Source organism: Homo sapiens, chromosome 1 (genome assembly GCF_000001405.40).
Source record: "Homo sapiens chromosome 1, GRCh38.p14 Primary Assembly".
In the NCBI taxonomy this organism is placed as follows: Eukaryota; Metazoa; Chordata; class Mammalia; order Primates; family Hominidae; genus Homo; species Homo sapiens.
In genome coordinates, this window is record NC_000001.11 from 115,999,217 (window position 1) to 116,018,161 (window position 18,945).

Consider the following 18,945-nt stretch of genomic DNA (forward strand, 5'->3'; position numbering starts at 1 on the left):
TCCATTTGCTGAGGAGAAGAATGGAAGAATGCATATTCTGCAGCTATTGGATGAAATGTTTTGTAAATATTTATTTGATCTATAATGCAGGTCCATTTGGTCTATAGTGAAGATTAAGTCTAATGTTTGTTGATTTTTCTCCCTGGATGACCTATCTAGTGCTGAAAGTGATGTGCTGAAGTCTCCAGCAACTATTGTATTGGGGTTTATCTCTCTTTTTAGTCCTAATAATATTTACTTCATATATTTGGGTGCTCCAGTGTTGGGTGCATATATATTTTTGTTCTTTTTTTTTTTTTTTTCTGGAGACAGAGTCTTGCTCTGTCACCCAGGCTGGAGTGCAGTGGCATGATCTCAGCTTACTGCAACCTCCACCTCCTGGGTTCAATTCATTCTCATGCCTCAGCCTCCCGAGTAGCTGGGACTAAAGGTGTGTGCTACCATGCCCAGCTAATTTTCTGTATTTTAGTAGTGATGGTGTTTCATGGGGTTGCCCAGGCTGGTCTTGAACTCTTGAGCTCAGGCAGTCTGCCTGCCTCCACCCCGCAAAGTGCTAGGATTACAGGCATGTACCATCACATCTGGCCTATATTCTTAATTCTTATATCCACTTGCTGAATTGACCCCTTTATTATTATATAATTATCTTGTCTCTTTTTAAAATTTTTGTCTTGAAATCTATTTTGTCTGATATACATATAGCTATTCCTGCCCTTTTTTGGTTTCCGTTGGCATGGAATATCTTTTTCCATCCCTTTATTTTCAGTCTATGTGTATCTTTATAGGTGAAGTGTGTTTCTTATAGGCAACAGATCATTGGGTCTTGGTTTTTTTATCCATTCAGCCATTCTGTATCTTTCGATTGGAGTTTAGTCCATTTACATTCAATGTTATTGTTGATAATTAAGGACTTACTACTGCCCTTTTGTTATTTGTTTTCTGGTTGTTTTGTGGTTTTCTCTTCCTTTTTTCTTTTTTGTGAAAATGATTTTCTCTGGTGGTATATTTTAATTTCTTGCTGAAATTTTTCGTGTATCTGTTGTAGGTTTTGTTATTTTATGTTACCATGAAGCTTACAAATGACATCTTATAACCCATTATTCTAAACTGATGACAATTTAACTCTGCAAAAACAAGCAAACAAAGAGAAAACTAATAAAAAGTCTACACTTTAGCTTCATCCCCTTGCTTTTTAACTTTTTGTTGTTTCTATTTATAACTTCTTATACTGTCTATTTCTTACAAAGTTGTTCTAATTATTATTTTTGATTGGTTCGTCTCTTAGTCTTCCTATTCAAGATATGCATAGTTTATACACGACAATTACAATGTTATAATATTCTGTATTTGTCTGTGTACTTAACTATAACTAGTGAGTTTTGTATCTTCATGTAATTTCTTTTTTTTCCTTTTTTTTTTTTTTTTTTTTTTTGAGATGGAGTCTCACTCTGTCGCCCAGGCTGGAGTGCAGTGGCTTGATCCCGGCTCACTGCAAACTCTGCCTTCCAGGTTCCTTCGATTCTCCTGCCTCAGGCTCCCGAGTAGCTGGGACTGCAGGCACCCGCCACCATGCCCAGCTAATTTTTTGTATTTTTTTAGTAGAGACGGGGTTTCACTGTGTTAGCCAGGATGGTCTTGATCTCCTGACCTCATGATCTGCCTGCCTTGGCCTCCCAAAGTGCTGGGATTACAGGCGTGAGCCACCATGCCCGGCCGACCTTCCTGTAATTTCTTATTGCTCATTAATGTCCTTTTTTTTCAGATTGAAGAACTCTCTTTAGCATTTCTTGTAGGACAGGTCTGGTGTTGACAAAATCCCTCAGCTTTTGTCTGAGAATGTCTTTATTTCTCTTTTATGTTTCAAGGATACTTTTACTGGATATACTAGTCTAGGATAAAAGTCTTTTTCCTTCAGTAGTTTAAATATATCATATCTTTCTCTCCTGATCTGTTAGGTTTCCACTGAGAAATTTGCTATCAGACATATTGGAGCTCCTTTATATGTAATTTTTTTTTCTTTTCTCTTGCTGCTTTTAGAACCATTTCTTTATCCTTGACCTTTGAGAGTTTGATTATTAAATGTCTTGAAGTAGTCTTATTTGAGTTAAATGTGCTTGGTGTTCTATAACCTTCTTGTACTTTACTATTGATATCTTTCTCTCTAGGTATGGAAAGTTCTGTTATTATCTCTTTGAATAAACTTTCTGTCCTGATGTCTTTCTCTTCTTCCTCTTTAAGGGAAATAACTCTGTATTTGCTCTTTTGAAACTGTTTTCTAGATCCTGTAGGCATGCTTTATTATTTTTTATTCTTTTTTCTTTTGATTCCTCTGTGTATTTTCAATAGCCTGTCTTTAAGCGCTCATTAATTCTTTCTTCTGCTTGATCAGTTCTGCTCTTGAGAGATTCTGGTGCGTTCTTCATTTTGTCAGTCAAATTTTTCAGCTCCAGAATTTCTGCTTGATTCCTTTTATTTCAATCTCCTTGTTAAATTTATCTGACAGGATTCTGAATTCCTTCTCTGAGTTATCTTGGATTTCACTGAGCTTTCTCAAAACATCTATTTTGAATTCTCTCTGAAAGGTCACATATCTCTGTCACTCCAGAATTGGTCACTGGTGCCTTATTTAGTTTGTTTGATGAGATCATGTCTTCCTGAATGGTCTCGATGCCTGTGGATGTTCGTCAATGCCTGAACATTGAAGAGTTAGGTACTTATTCTAATCTTTGCAGTCTGGGCTTGTTTGTACTTGTCTTTCTTGAGAAGGCTTTCAAAATATTCAAAACTAATTGAGTGTTATGATCTAAGTTTTTGGTCACTGCAGCCATAAGTGCATGAGATAGCACCTCAAGCCTAGTAGCACTGTGACTCTTACAAACTCGTAGAGATACAATGGTGGTCTTGGTTAAGATCTGGGAGAATTTCCTGGATTACCAGGCAGAGCCTCTTGTTCTCTTCCCTTACTGTTTTCCAAACAAACAGCATCTCTCTCCATGCTGAGCTCCCTGGAGTTAGGGGAAGGATGACATAAGCACTCTTTTGGTCACTACCACTGGGACTGTACTGGGTCACACATGAAGTTGGCATAGTACCAGGTCCTGCCCAAGGCCTGTGACAACTATTTCCTGGCTATTGCTGATGTTTATTCAAGGCCCAAAGGCTCTTTAGTCAGTGGGTGATTACTCCTACTAGGACTTGATCTTTTCCCATAAGAGCAGCAGGTTCCCTTCTGGACCAGGGTGGGTCTGGAAATGCCATCCAGGCAGTAGGGCCTGAGATCAGGGGCTTTAAAAATCTGCTTCATGCTTTATTTTACTGGGGCTGAGCTGGTACCGAGATTGCAAGACAAAGTCCCCTTTACTTTTCCCTCTCCTTTCCTCAAGCAGAAGGAGCCTTTGCCCATGGCCAACACTGCCCCAGGCCTGTGGTAACTATTGCCTGGCTACCACTGATGTTTATTCAAGGCCCAGGAGCTCTTTACTTAGCAAGTGGTGAGCTGACAGGCATGGGTCTTTTCTTTCAGGGGAATGGGTTCCCTTCTGTCCCAGGATGGGTTTAGAAATTCCATGTAGGAGCCAAGGCCTGTAATCAGGGACTTTAAGAGTTGGCTTGGTTCTTTATTTTACTGTGGCTGAGCTGGTACCCAAGTTATAAAGTCCTTTTTACTCTTCCCTCTCCTTTCTTCTAGCGAAGGAGTCTCTCCCCATGGCAACCACAGCTGGGAATGTGCTGGATCACACCTGAAGCCAACATAAAACTGGGTCTTGTCCAAGGCTTATGGTGACTGCTGCCTGGCTACCACTGGTATTTATTCTATTCAAGGTCTAAGGGCTGTTTAACCAGCAGGTGGTAAATTCTGGCAGGATTGGGTCCTTCCTTTCAGGGCAGCAGGTTCCCTTCTGGCCCAGGGTTGGTCTAGAAATGTCATCCAGGAGTTATGGCCTAGAATGGGTGCATTAGGACTCTGCTTGGTGCTTTATTTTACTGTGGCTGAGCTGGTATGCAAATTGCAAGACAAAGCCCTCTTTATTCACTCTTCCCTCTTTTCCTGGAGCTGTGAGCTGTGCTGCCTGGGATTGCAGAAGGGGCAGTACAAGCACTCCCTTGGCTACCCAAGCTGGTGTCCCACTGGATCATGTGCATCCCAAGTCCACTGACTCTGAGCCCAGCCCAGCACCAGGACTTGCCCAGTAATTGCAGTCTAGGCCACAAGAACTAGTTTATTGAAGACCCTAGAGCTCTTTAGCTTGCAGTGGTGGGACTAGCCAGAACTCAGGTTCTGACCACTGGGATGGGCGATTCCTCTCTGGCTAGGGCTCATCTAAATGCTCCTTCTGTGGGCACCAGCTGAATTCTGCCCTGTGTTGCTTGTGGTGTGAAGGGACTCACTGAGTTCCAATGCAAAGTTCCATTATCACTGTGCTCTCTGCTTCCCAAGCACACAGATTCTCTCTTCCTGTGCCGTGTGGTATTTCTGTGGGTTGGGGGAAGGGTAGTGTCAGCAATTCAAGACTGTCTTTCCTACCCTCTTAGGTGCCTCTTTCCTTGATGTGATGTTAAAACTAGGTACTGTGATCAGTCCTGATTTGTGGTTCTTAAGAAGGTCCTTTTGAAACTCACCCAATTGTCCCAAAGAGCTGATGTTTATGGTTTCTTTTGAATAAACATAGAAATTGACCCTTCTATTCTTAAAACTAGAGAAAGTTATATTTGTCTTATTGGAGTTCCTTCCTCAGGAAACTGAACCTTAGGCCTCCCAGATATTATCAAGGAACTGAAACTCAGCAGATCACTGCATCCAGACAGTGAAAGGCCAGACCCCTCATTTATCATGACTGCTTCCTTACCTCTCCTTAATTCCTGTTTTCCTGCATGTAGCTTATTACTTCCTTGTTATATAAGTCCTCAGTTTTAGTTGGTCAGAGAGACAGATTTGAGACTGATCTCCCATCTCTTTGGCTGCAGCACCCAATAAAGCCTTCTTCCCTGGCAATACGTGTTGTCTCAGTGATTGGTTTTCTGTGTGGCAAGCAGCAGGACCTAGAGCAAGCCCCTGGTGTTTTGGTAATACTTTCTTTTGTGGATAGTTGTTCAATTTGGTGTTCCTGTGGGGAGGATGACTGCTGGAGTGTTCTAGTCGGCCATCTTGCTCTTTCTCCTCCCCATTCCAATATTTTTGAGAATTTTTATTATGAATGTATATTGAATTTTGTCAAATACTTTTTCTACATCAATTGCAATGACTGTGTAATTTTTCTTCTTTATCTTGTAATATGATGGATTACAGAGATTGTTTTTCAAATATTGAACCAGCCTTGCATCTTTGGGTACATGCTTCTTTTTATATATTACTGATTTCTATTTGCTAACATTTTGATAAGGATTAATGCCTCTATATTTGTGAGGAGTATTGCTCTGTAGTTTTCTTTTTTGATACTATCTTTGGTTTTGGTATCGAAGTAGTACTAGCTTTATAAAATGAATTGGAAAGTGTTCCCTTCTTTTATATTTTATGGAAGAGATTGTGTAGAGTTGGTATTAATTCCTTAAGCCTTTGATAGAATTCTCCAGTGAAATTATCTGTACCTGTAGATTTCCTTTTGGGGAGTTTTAAAATTATGAATTCAATTTTCTGGGGCTATTTTGTCAAATGATCTATTTTGTATTGGATGAGTTGTGGTTGTTTGTACTTTTCCAGGAATTGGTCCATTTTATCTAAGTTGTCAAATCTATGTGTGTAGAATTGTTCATAGTATTACCTTATCATTGTTTTGATATTTTCAGGGTCTGAAATGATTTCCCTTCTTTTATTACCTGGTATTGGGCATTTGTGTCTTTTTTTCTTATTTAATTACTTCTCAGTCATTATAGAGATTTGTCAATATTACTGATCTTTTTAAAGAATGAGCATTTTGTTTGATTGATTTTTCTCTATCGTTTTTCTGTTTTGAATTTTATTGGTTTCTGTTCTTTAGTGGAAGGAATAAGGAAAAGCATGCCTACTTAGTCTTCTTGGAAGTGGGATCCCTCTTGTGTCCTTTTGACATGCCTATCATTTCTGATATGCCTATCAGAAATTTTTGGCATAACAAGATATTCCAAGTTCATCTTGTACCTCTCACCCCTGAAGCATGAAATTAGTCATTTCTCCAAAAAGCCCTGGTTTTACTTAGGATTGATCTCCATAGGATTTTGAAATGGGTGAGAACTATAGGTCTGCTCTCCAATAAATCTATTACTACATTATAATGAAAGCAAATCCCAGACCAAATTCTGCCACATATACAGTATATACATTTATTAACTAAATTCTTGTAATCAAAGTAGCACATAAAAAACTGTCTTGCAGGCTTGAGAAGTCCTAGCTCTTTAGTCTCCTAGATGTTTTGAACACTGATTCCATGGTAGGTCACTATAGGTAAACTCCAATTTTCCATAGGCAGGGTACTGATACCACCACTCCTACTCCCAACCTCCACTCCTCAGCCAGCATCAGGGAGAAAGAAGCTTCCAGAGTCCATGTTGGCTCAGGACCAAGGAGGAGTTTTAGCTGAGAGCATAACCCTGTAGGTAGAGTACCTACACATTGGATTATCTCACAAATTCCTGCAAGGGTGGGGAGTACCCCTAATATATTGACATAATCCATGTATCTTGAATGCCTTCAATTTCACAGTGTTAGACCACTTTTGGTATTCATTATTACTAGTCAATAGGCTGCTATTTTAATCAAGAATAAGCAAAGCACTCATTTCTGACAACCCCTTATAGTAGCTCCTGCTGGCGAATGGGCTCTCTGAAGAGAAGGACAGCTGACCACCACTGGACAATGCAATCTTGATTAGAATGCTTGTGGTACCAGGGTGACAGCTTGACCTAAGCAACATTTATGTAGAATATCCCACTGTATGTATCCTAATCTATAATTAGGAGCCCTTTTAGATATTTCCAGAGGGATACCATTATTAACAAGTGTTCACTGAGCAATTGTTACCTGCCTTATGTTAGAGAAGGCTTGCTATAAAGAGAGAGCTCTTAGATCCTGCACTCCAGGACAACAGGGATGAGGCACCCTGGTCCCCACTGTATCTCCTATGCTGACTTCTAGGATCTCACAATAAACAGTGCCCGACTGAAGGTGGAAGACAGAAGGAAGGGTGAATTAGTTAAAGGGAACCCAGGGAACTACTACTCTCAAGATAAAGAGTGTTAGAAACAGGAGAAATTGAATGAAATGGCTTCCTTGGCAAGTGCTGAAGATCTTTAAAGCAGCTCTGAGAGGAAAAGAATTAAGGGCTGAGACAGCCTTCACCTTGCCACCTGTGATAGTAGCTACGTCTTTTCCTTCCTGTTACCTAAATCTTAGCCCACTGGGGTGCATCTAAGAATCGCTGTCTCCCTTGCCACCTGTCTTTGTCAATCTGTATCTCTGTGTCCCCTCCCTCCCTCCTTTCCTTCTCTTCTCCCCACCTTCTGTCCTTATTGCTCTTTCTTGTCTCTGTCATTTTGTTTGTGTCTGTTTCTGCTTGTTCCCATGTCTCTTCATCTCAGTCTGTCTGTATTTACCTCTCTGTTTCTGTTTCTCTTTCTCTTTCTGTATCCATTGCATTCACTCTCTGTCTTGCCTTTCCCTCTGTCTGTCTTTATCATTTCTGCCTCTGTGTGCCTTTCTGTTTCTGTTTCTCACCCTCGCTTCCTCACCCTGTCTCCCTCCCTCTTCCTGTGTTATTCATCTGTCCTCTTTCTCATTCCCATCATGTGTAGCCACTGAGATGCGTAGACTGGGATGTATATGTTATTATCCACCTTGATTATAGTTATTGATAATTATACGTTTCTAAATACTTGGTACTTTCTTCCCATGATATAGAGGTACACATTATATTCCTCATCCCACCAGGGTGTCAAAAAATTATCCACCCTCAGAGGTTTATTTCAAGGTACAAATTACCTGTGCAAATAGTGACCCTCAGTCTCCAGCAGGTGCTCCAAGATGTATCCAGAACAACATGGGGAGCAGGGCATGGACTGTCCCTGCTGCACAGTTAGATGAGATCCTCATACTGCCACCCCGTGGCACCTCCACCCTCCCTCAGGGCTCTTTGGGAACTCTGGGGTCATGATTTGGGATCAATTATCTTTTAAGCATTCCAGATGCTGAACTGGCTGCTTCAGCCTGAGTGGGTTCATGATGCTTTGCAAGGGTGGCTGTGGCCTGCCTACTTGTTGGAGGAGTACAGTTGGCATCACTGACCCACACAACAGGACAGAACTCCACAACCTCCATGGGATCCTCAGCTGTGACAAGATCATTCCATACTTTGCACTGAGTTTGTGGGTAAGAAGATAAGTTTATATAAGGTCTGGTAGGTATAGGAGAGAGGGAAGAGGCAGCTAACCACTTTTTAAAAATGCACTCTGGGATGGGAGTCTCTCTGCCAGAGGCCTTCCATAGATGCTATGTATTTAGTCCTACCAACAACCCCACTCTATTAGTGAAATAACAGATGAAGAGAATTTAAAGAATTTTCCCTAAATCATACACCTAATAAGCTGCTAGTCTGGGATTCAATGAGCTCATATTCTTTCCACTTCACTAGTGATTTTCAAGCTTTTTTAAAAAACAAAAAAGAATAGAAGCCTTTAGTTTTAAATGGTATCTTAGTTGGCATTTCAGTATTTAGAAGAGCTAGATACTTTGCTGTTGTCATTGCAGAGGAGTAGGGTCCAGGGCCTCAGCACCTCTGCCACCGCCAGCCATTTGTGGCAGCCCCAGAAACATGTCCATGAGAACAGGGTGAAGATCGACTCTGCCTGGGCCCCTTGGCTCACTGGCAGTGAAGGGACAGGAAGAGCCAATGGGAGTATGCCTTGGCGGATTTGAGAACAGTTAGCACAGTGACCGTGGGGAGATAGTGTATGGGGCATGAAATATCAACCTAAAGGAAGAAACTGAGGCACAAAATATAATTTTAAAGAGTTTCTTTGAGCCAGGGTGAGCACAGCTGCCCAGGAAACACTTCCCGGTTACTGTAGGAAGCGCTCTTTTCAATCTTTGTGGCAAGTAATCTTTTAAAGGCAAAAAGAGGAACAAGGAGTGGGTGGATACAAGATTGTTTGTTAGGAGTTTTCATTAGTTTACATAAATAACATTGATCAGTAATTGGCTTTATATTGTTGAACTATAGAGTAGGGGTTATGGTGTCCAGTGTGTAGCATTGTTAGGTTAATGTATAGCTACCAGTGGCATCAATCTAGAGTCCACATAGCAAGCAGCTTCAAGAGATGATACTTGGCTCAAGGGGAGATGGGGACATGACTGCTGCTTCATTCCAGTGCCTCTCTGGGCCCAATAATTTAGGCAGAGCTCACATTCCTCATATAAAAAGTTTCATTTCTTCCCCAACACATTAGGCTGAAAGCTAAATAAGATGCTCGCAGTCACCTGCTTGAGAGTGCTTTGGGCAGAGTGAATTCTAGGGGAGAAGGGAAAGCAATAATACTAGTCTGCTAATTAAAAAGGGAAGAAGACATGGGCTCAGAGTAGCTGGGTGACCTCCTCAGTGCCCCACAGTTAGTAAACAAGCCTGGCCACTGTGGCATGGGCCCAGCAGAAAGAAGGAGGCCAGGCAGGCAGCCCATCTGTGAGTGGTGTCAGCGTCTGCCTTCTACAAGGTGATGTGACCTGGGGCATGTGTGTCAGACTCATGAGGAGCCTGGCCAGTGTTCCACCCCCACAAAACCCACTCAAGTACGGTGGAAGTAGTAATGATTACATTAAGCTTTATTGCTGGTCAAGCTCAAATAAATGTACATGTTTCCTAACAGAACAAAAAATAACAAAGGAGAATTAAATAGAATGAACAATAGTTAAGTCTCATACTCTCAGCAGTTCACTGTATTCTCAGAGCCCCGCAACCACCTGCCCCAGTGACAACATTCACTATGTCTCTCCTCTCTGAATAGATTCAGGGAGACCTAACAAAGGCCTCCTCTGTTTCACATGTTTAACACAGAATCTCTTGTTTTTCCTGAAGTCCTTTATATTGAGGTACCAATGAAGTGTCTGTGCTGTGTGCTCCCGTCCCACCGTTCAGAGTGTGAATTATATGTTAGTTCACGCACTGTACTTCTGCTTTGTGCTTTAGAGGCCTGTCTGGGTGCTGTTCCAAGTGCTGGTGTGGTATAGGTAGCTTGAAAGTTTCCTGCTGCTGCTAACAAAATGATAAGAATCAAGGAGAGACAGCAGCAGAATGGAGAATAATGTGAATGGTGATCAAGGGGCAGCCAAGGCCAGCAGCACCAGGCAGCATGTTGGCATCAGTTACACTTTAGCCGGTGTTCTTGAGGAACCACTAGTCTCTGCACTGTGTTGAGTTCATCCTTATTACAATGAAGTGCAGTGCCAAACTAAAACCTCCACTTAATTTCTTAGCATTAAGTCAATTTCAATGACTTCACTAGACTCTCACTTGCTCCTGCAAATCTCTAAAGGAGTATTGAAATTGGTACCTAAACATGTCACTAAGTTGGTGAATATCCTTAATATATAATCTGTGGTATATAGGTAATGTTTGGTTCATATTGAAATAATCTTGTTTGAAATCAAAGTTAAAAAACAAATATGAAGCCCTGTTGACCCGTCACATAAAATTTTGGAAGATAAATATTAAGAGAGATTCTACGAAACTCTATAGTTTAAAGATACTGTGTTAAAAACACACATTTTTAACGTCTACCCTGCACCTTATTACACTTGGGTCAGGCCTTGCAGAAGTTTCTTTAGAAGAGTTTTTGGGAAGGGCAAATAAAAGGTTAGGTGGATGTGATTAACTTGGTATTTAATGCAAAACTCTAATCTAGGAGTCTTGACTATTCTAAAATGAGCTAATAGCTATTGGAGCGAATTTATGTAGCAAATTGCTGTCTGCTGTATTCAGATTATTCCCTGAGCTCTGACTCATTCAGAAAGCACCAAATATCACGGAGACACACAATTATCATGCTTAATTAATGTTTGCAACCAAAAAGTGTAAGGTTGGAATTCTTAATATCACTGTGGATATTGAAGAGCTGAAATTGACTGACTGTTATCTTGAGATTAATATATTTTCCCCAAGCCATACCCTGGGGTCAAAAGACAGAGTATTAAAACTATTTGAAAAATTCACTGCAATTAATTGCTTTAGGGGCTAATTTTTTTTAATGTCTTGCTTCCTTACGCCTGTACTACTGACTGTTATAGCCTGCAGACTTCACCCATTAAGTGGTAATTCAGAGTGACAACTACATTGAAATGAAGCAAGTTAGTTAATCACCATGAAACTGTTCCTGAAATACCCTGTCCAAGTACTCCCTAGTCACAGGAGGCCTCTGATTACCTGATTTTCTCCTGAAGTTAGATTTTCATGTACAAAGTTGTAATTATTTTTATTTTAAATACAGGCCAGGGGAGGGCTGAAGTTTGGTTGGAATTGTTATCAGAGCCATTCAGAATTTTTCACAGGAGACCATAGCGACTCTCTGATTGCGTAGAGCCCTCATGGATGTGCTGCAGGGATCCTAGGAAGCTGCTATTGGCTTCATCCCCGCAGCCTTGAAATACTGACAAGCTAGGAGTCTGGGTAGGGCTGTGGCAGTTATAATATGACTTGGTTTTCATCAAAGCATGACCTCCAGCAACAAGAGGCTCGATCAATAGGCACGGGCCCAGTCTTGTTTGCCCATTTTGGTTGACCTGCTTGGACAACCAGGGTGACCTGCCCTTTGTCTTCCTTTCCTTTATGATTAGGTGGGCTATGCCCTGAACAGTCATGTGGTGCGTCCTCCTTTCAGAGAAGGCTGTGTTGGGACTAGTGAACTATGTGGGTCCCTGAAAAAGTCTGCCTTTTAGAAGGGATACAGCAGCCAGCTGAGGGGCTAGGTACTACTGTCTAAACTGCCACAGCCCCTGCCTGGCTTGCAGGTTCCTTGATATACTGTGAATCATCCATGGCACATTTCTTATCCCTGCATGATTGTATATCCTTCTCTCAGTGGGGATATTTGTGGACCAGCTAAAGTGCTTTCAGGGGCTAAAGATAAAATCAAGTATTCTAGCTGTCAGATTGGCTATAGGAAGAAGGAAACCCCCTCAAATTCTAAATCTGTCTACACTCCTTTTCAAGAGAATGGCATTCGGTGGCTCCAAGGAAATGGTGACCAATTAGGTAGTTCCCTGTATGCCCGTAAACCCACAACCTGATGCTTGAAGTCATGACCTGGAGATATTGTGTGTGAAGATGCCTATAAGACGATGGCACTTGCTCTTCTTACATAAATAATTCAGCAAATAATTAATTAGTGCTGACAGACACTGTAAGTTTAGCATGGGGGATACAAATATGCCCTTAAGAATCTCACAGCATCATAGGGGAGAGACAAATGGACACACTTCACCATGCATCATTGTAAAGCAAAAATAGGGTGATGTGGCAGAAAGGAGAGAGTGGTAAGCTCTGCTGGGGTAAGTCAGACGAGACTTAAGGTGTGTCATGGAGAATGAATAGTTCACGGGGGAGGAGGTGGGGATGCAAGTGGGGAGTGGGGAGAGGAGGGCACAGTGCATACTGAGAGTGGTCTTTTTGGCAGGTGTCATGCTTCATGGCAAAAGTGGAATGAGAAATCTGTTTGCCTTTCTTTGGGTAACCATACCCTTACCTAGACTTCTGCACGACAGTGGTCCTACATTATTCATCTGTGGGAGATGCAGAGTCAGTCACCTGCCCTGAGCCAAAACAGGGAGGGCAAGAAAGGGCAAAGCCCACTTGTGGGAGGGAAATGACCCACTGCTTGTAAAAGCTTGGAGTAAATGATTTTTTTCTTTACCATTCACTTCTCCCTTCATTAGAGTGGTTTGTGATTATAGCATGTTTTTCAACTATTATTCCATGAAATGTCACTATAAATTAGAAGAAGAAATAAAAAACCTACAATGGGTTGTTTAGGTCACAGGAAAAAACGGAAGCAGACAAATTTATCACATTTGCAGAGCCAAGGAGAAGTTGCTCAGAGTAGAGGCTGGATATGTGTCTCAGTTCTCGGAGTCAGTATGACAGAGGTCCTTCTTGCTCTTTGGTCTTCCTAATATTCATGATCAACTTAAGAAATATCTCCTAGTTCATGGATTAGCCTGGGCAACAAAATAAGACCCTGTCCCTTAAAAAGAAAAAAAAGAAATATCTCCTGATCCCTGTGCTCTAATACAGTAGGGAAGGATAATAATAACAGCACAGGGCTATTCGGTGGAGGAAGGAAAAGAAAGAAACCTGGAGATGGCTTGTTTGTGTCATATGGGTACACTAGGATGTCAGATAGACAGTAAGTGTAAATGATACAAGTCAATTAAAAAATGGAAATTTATTAGGTATTTGTATTTAAAACACACACTGTGGAGTAAGATACACGCTGAAACAAAAGATCAGCCAAATATGAAAATAACCACTTTGGAAGTTGATTTTAAAACACATTATAGGTGGTCCTCAACTTAGGATGGCTTGACATATGATTTGTTGACTTTATGATGGTGCAAAAGTGAAAAGTATTCAGTGGAAACTGTACTTCCAATTTTGAATTTTGATCATTTCCTGGGCTAGTAGTAAGTGTGGAAGGATCCTCTTTCATGATGCTGGGCAGCTCCCCATCAGCAGCAGCTCCCAGTCAGCCATGTGACCTTGAGGGCAAACAAGTGATATTATTCTCTACAGTGCTCTCCTGTATTCAGTAAATTACATGAGGTAGTCCGCACTTTATTATAAAGTCAGCTTTGTGTTAGATGACTTGGTCCAACTGTAGGATAATGTGTTTGGAGCACATTTAATGTAGGCTATGAGGTATGATGTTCGGTAGGTTAGGTGCATTAAATGCATTTTCAACTTACCATATTTTCAGCTTACCATGGGTTGGGGGCAGCCCAGTCGTAAGTCGAGGGGCATCTATATTCTCTTCTCCCTCATCCCCAGCCTTCTCCCTGTTGTTCCCCAAGCACACAGGCCATAACCCTCACTTCATGCTTGACATGCAACCTTCCTTTTCTTCCTTCCCGCTCCTTTTTAGTGACATCTGATTCTGTTACCCTGTCTAAGTCAAAAGGACCCCTTATTTCTAGTATTCCCTCTAGTACTCAGTTGACTTTTTCCATAGCTTCCTGAATGGAACACATGCTGAGGGTGAAAAAATAGAAAGTCTTAGCCAATATATTGTAATTTACATACCAAAGGCTGGCTCTTGGGGATGAGGGGAGAGTATTACGTGAAAGTTCGTTGGTTATTATCTGGTTATAAGATATGGCAGCGTTCCTCTTTGACATATCTTTGATATACATTGTTTCATTACTCAGATGTTAATTTTGTTTTGGGGATTACATAAGCATGTGGTCCATTTTAAAGCAATATTTTGTTTTTTCAGATTATATTTGTATTTCAGGAAAATGATTTATTTGATTTGTGACATGTCCATAAAGCTTAAGGTTTTATGATTTTAAGAGAGATGCTAAAGATACATTTGGTTGCTTCCTTTAAAATTTATCTTCAAGCTCCACTCAGTCTGTGGTTGGCCTAATCCATCCTGGTGGCTTCAAATAATACCTGTTCATGGATGACTCGCCCCAGATCTCACCTCTGAACTCCAGGCATCTATATCCAGCATGAATCCTTTCTCTTCTGGAAGTCTCCAGTTCTGGCCTGCACGGTTGTAATGGCCTTTGATGGATCTTCCCGCTCACATGCTTGCTACCTCCATTCTGTTCTCTGTATTGCAGCTAAAGCAGCTTTTCTTGATGTACGCCAGTACTTTATCCCTTATCAGGACATGCCATTTATTCTCAGCATCTAAGCAGTAAGAATATAAATATCAAAAAAAGAAACCTCCAAATGTTTCATTAGTACCCAGCCAAGAGTGTCTCTGTCTCAACCCCCTTCACTTCTGTTCACCTAGCTTTTTTCCTCTTTAGGAACTGGAAGGCACTGCATAGCCCTGGCTCTGTGCTCACACCTGTATTTGCCATATTTATGTTCCTTTCATCTTTTATGTTAGAGGCACCTGCTATTGGTTCTGCCCCCAGTTGTGCCTGATTTTCTCTCAGGTCCACTTTCTTTAGATCAGTGAATGATTATACGAGTGCTTTTAGTGCTGTGCCCCTCAAATCCTTTTTGAAAATAGAGTATATTGAATGCTCAACTCAATTTAGTGTATAAGAACAAAAATACAGATGCTGGTTATAAAACAGATGTAAGTCAGCCTGAGAGACTGAAAATATTTTGTCTTTATAGTCCTCCTTTTCTATTAATATATGGGAAAAGAAAAGTAGATTTCCTGCTTTTTCAATTTGCAAATGATTTTTCAATTTGAAGTACCTTAACATAAAAAGAACATTCATTCTGTGGCTTTAGAATTTGGCCTATTATTAACAAAAGATAATACGAAATTCATCACCTTAATAATCTCTACTCAACAGCATTTGAATGACTTATAAATTAGTGATTTTTAAAATCTAAAGACTCATAAAAAACACATTTCTTGAGAGCCACACTTATCATATTTAGGTTTATTATAGTTTAACTTAAAATGACCTGGTAATATCCTGGTTTGGGTTTTATCCTAGTACTAAGTATTGACCAAAGGGGGAAGAAAATGAGCTAGCAATTGAGTCTAGTCTGCTGAGTGAGCTCCTTCCAAAACTTTAAGTATAGATTACGCCAGTACATTTTCTCAAATACTATAGGGATCAATATCCTAGTGTATCTTCTCTGGGCTTTGACAAAATAAAACTCCTTAGATCACATAGTAGGTATGTGATACGTATATCAACAATACTTGAAAAGTTTTTAAAATTGGGCAAAACAAAACATTTAAACCAATATCTCACATGTTGGGAGATGAAGGATGCAGAGGGCTGGTTGTCAACCCATTGTTCTGAATCTGTGAGTTGGCATCCCTGTGTCAACCATCCCCAGTTCACTAGGATCTGTCAGGGAGATCTGGGTTCCAGCTTCACATTCTCTAATTTGCTTTTGAAAAATCTGTCTTTCCATTTTTCTGTCAGTTCCTGCATGTATTCCAAGAGTAATAGAGAGACACATGAGCTCAACTAGCATTGACATGAAGAAAAATTACTAGCAGTTACTTTGACACTTGGAAATGGCAACCTGAGAATCAGAATTTGGAATTTGCTGCTCAAACATCCCTTGGGCTACTTCTTCCTAAAATTGCCACAAAAGTTGACAGCTATCCACTTAAAAGGATAGTATTGTAGCCTTTTCCATGGATCTGAGAAGTTCAGCAAATGAGGCAACAGAATAGTTGATTATGGAGTTTTCAAATTAGCCATTTTTTAATGATTAAGCACAAAACAGATCAGTTTCGTGTTTAATCAATAAAACAGGCCAAGATCAGTATCTTGGCCGTGTAAACAGACTAGCAAAACTTGAGGTGCAGGTTAATGAAGACTAAAGTTGCAGGCCAGATTTTGAAAGCATGAAGAGACTAAAACAAACACTAAGAACATAAATTTTAAAAAAAGCAAGTGTTTGAATTTCAAGGTATTAAGAACAAGTACAATTAAGCTGTGTACATTGGCCACTGTAAAAGAAGGGATCTCCCTGTGACAGATACAGTCCTGTCTTTTCTAGGACAACCTGATATCTCATATTGATTTATTTTTAGACCTGGTAAAATGTTACCGTAAGCATTCCTCATGAGTCAAAAATCCTACCACAGAACTATCCATGTTTCAAAATAAATTAATTTTTTACAAAACAAAATTTTTTCTTCAAATGCTGGAGCTCTTTTAATCTCTTTTATATGAAACTTTCTTTCTCTTTCTTTTTCTTTTCTTTTCTTTCTCTCTTTCTCTCCTTCTTTCTCTCTTTTCTTCTCTCCTTCTCTCCTCTTCTCTTCTATCCCTCTCTTCTCTCTGTTCCCCTCCCCTCCTTTCCCCTCCCCTCCCCTCTTCTCACCTCTCTTTTGACAGGGTCTCACTCTGTTGTCCAGGCTGGAGTGCAATGGCACTCTGTAGCCCCAACCTCCCAGGCTCACTGTAATGGCTCACTGTAGCCCCAACCTCCCAGGCTCAATCAGTTCTGCCACCTCAGCCTCCAGAGTAGCTGGGACTACAGGTGTGCACCACCACACCCAGCTAATTTTTGTGTGTTTTGTATAGACATGTTTTCGCCATGTTGCCCAGGCTGCTCTTGAACTCCTGGGCTCAAGCAATCCACCGGCCTCAGCTTCCCAAAGTGCTGGGATACAGGCGTAGCCACTGCACCCAGCCTGTATCTGTAGTTTCATAAACCTTCATAACCTCTCCCATGAGCTTGACTCCCAGCCAAATGCCTGCTTGACTTCTCTACTTAGATGTTTTATATGCGTGCTCTGTCTGAGCTTCTTCACACAGAACTCTTGAATTCCCACCATGTACCTAACACCCCTTGCAGCCTTCTCTGTCTTGATAAATGTCACAACCACCCAGAGAGTGGCTAAAATGAACAATTTAGGTGACTCTTCCATTCGTTCCTACTCCTACTGCATCTCCATCACAACATCTGACAGTCCTGCCTTCAAAATACATCCCAAGTCCATTCAGTTCTCTCCATCACCACTGTTTCCACCTTCATCCAAGCCATCATTATCTCCTAAATGATTACTGTAACTCCCCTGCTTCCACTCTTTGCTATCATATTGCATTCTCATAAAGTGGCCAGAGTGATCTTTAGAAACATAAACCTAGTAATTCAATATTCGTTCTTTGCACTAGAATAAAATCTCTCAGCTCCTTACTGTGGCCTAACCTTGCATGATCTGATGCCCACCTGCTTCACTGGCCTAATTTCATACCACCTCCACTAGAGATACACTGGTGTGTTTTCACCTGGGGCCATTGCAATTATTTTCCCCGAAGAGTTTTTTTGTGGTTGGTTACTTGTCATCATCCAGGTCACAAATGTCACCTCCGCCCAGAATCCTCCCCTGAACCACGTATTTAAAGTGGCTCCCTCCAGTCCCAGCTACTTGGGAGGCTGAGGCAAGAAGATTGTTTGAGGCTGGGGAGTCAAGGCTACAATGAGCTGTGATGGCACCACAGCACTCCAGCCTGAGCAACAGAGTGAAACCCTGCCAAAAAAAAAAAAAAAAGAAAAGAAAAAAAAGGAAAGAAAGAAATAGTAAATCCAAGAATGGCTAGGAAAACCAGCTAATTTACCTTGTTAAGAATTGCATGTGAAGAATGGAATTCAGAAGTAAAGCATACATTAGTAAGGGGACATTATTCTCATCTGTTTTTCCCAATTCCTGAGCCTTTTGGTGGGTGGTTTTGCATAGAGATGTCCAGAAGCTGTCTTGTCAAGACCTTTATCAATCCAGTCTTACAAGACTAGGAGGGAAGGAGAGAAGTTAGATGTACTTTGAGCCATGATGACTGGTTGTGGAAGCATCAGAAGGGAGTGATCTGAAAAGTGGAGAGAGCAACTGAAGATTCTTTATTGCAAGTTCTCGAGGAGGAGGAGCCCTTCACACACCTGTCAGCACTGATTCTAGCGAAGGGGACCAGGAAGAGGAAGGATGAGTGGTCTCTTGGTTCTCTGAGGTTATTCTGTGACATGGGTTCACTTTTATTCTTATAACCAAATATCATCTTTAACACATCACTAGACAAGACTTGAGATAGTGGTGTTTTAACCAGAGAATGGTTGCTTTCTCTTTAAGTTCCTAAGTTTCCCTAAAGTAGAAGATACTAAAGGAGTTTCTTTTGTCATAAATATACGTGATATAAAATTTACCATTTTATTCACATTTAAGTGTGTAGTTTCAGATGCATTGCATACATTCAAATTGCTGTGTTACCATTGCCACTATTCATCTCCAGGACGCTTTCAACATTCCAAACTGAAACTCTGTTCCATTATGCAATAA

At 40.9% G+C, this 18,945-nt stretch overlaps 1 protein-coding gene across 23 annotated transcripts in view; it reads left to right on the forward strand.

The window, feature by feature from the left end:
* The window catches only part of SLC22A15 (solute carrier family 22 member 15), a 93,542-nt gene that overhangs the window by 22,704 nt on the left and 51,893 nt on the right, over positions 1–18,945 (forward strand). Inside the window, exon 2 of one of the 23 annotated variants that reach the window (XM_047424413.1) lies at positions 3,689–3,804. The exons of 21 other annotated variants lie outside the window; for them this stretch is intronic. In XM_047424413.1, coding sequence (XP_047280369.1) covers positions 3,778–3,804 — 27 coding nt within the window. In that variant the 5' untranslated portion in view covers positions 3,689–3,777. Of the gene's footprint in view, positions 1–3,688; positions 3,805–3,825; positions 8,339–18,945 lie in introns of those variants that run through there. One more of the 23 variants, XM_047424410.1, reaches the window with a different exon arrangement.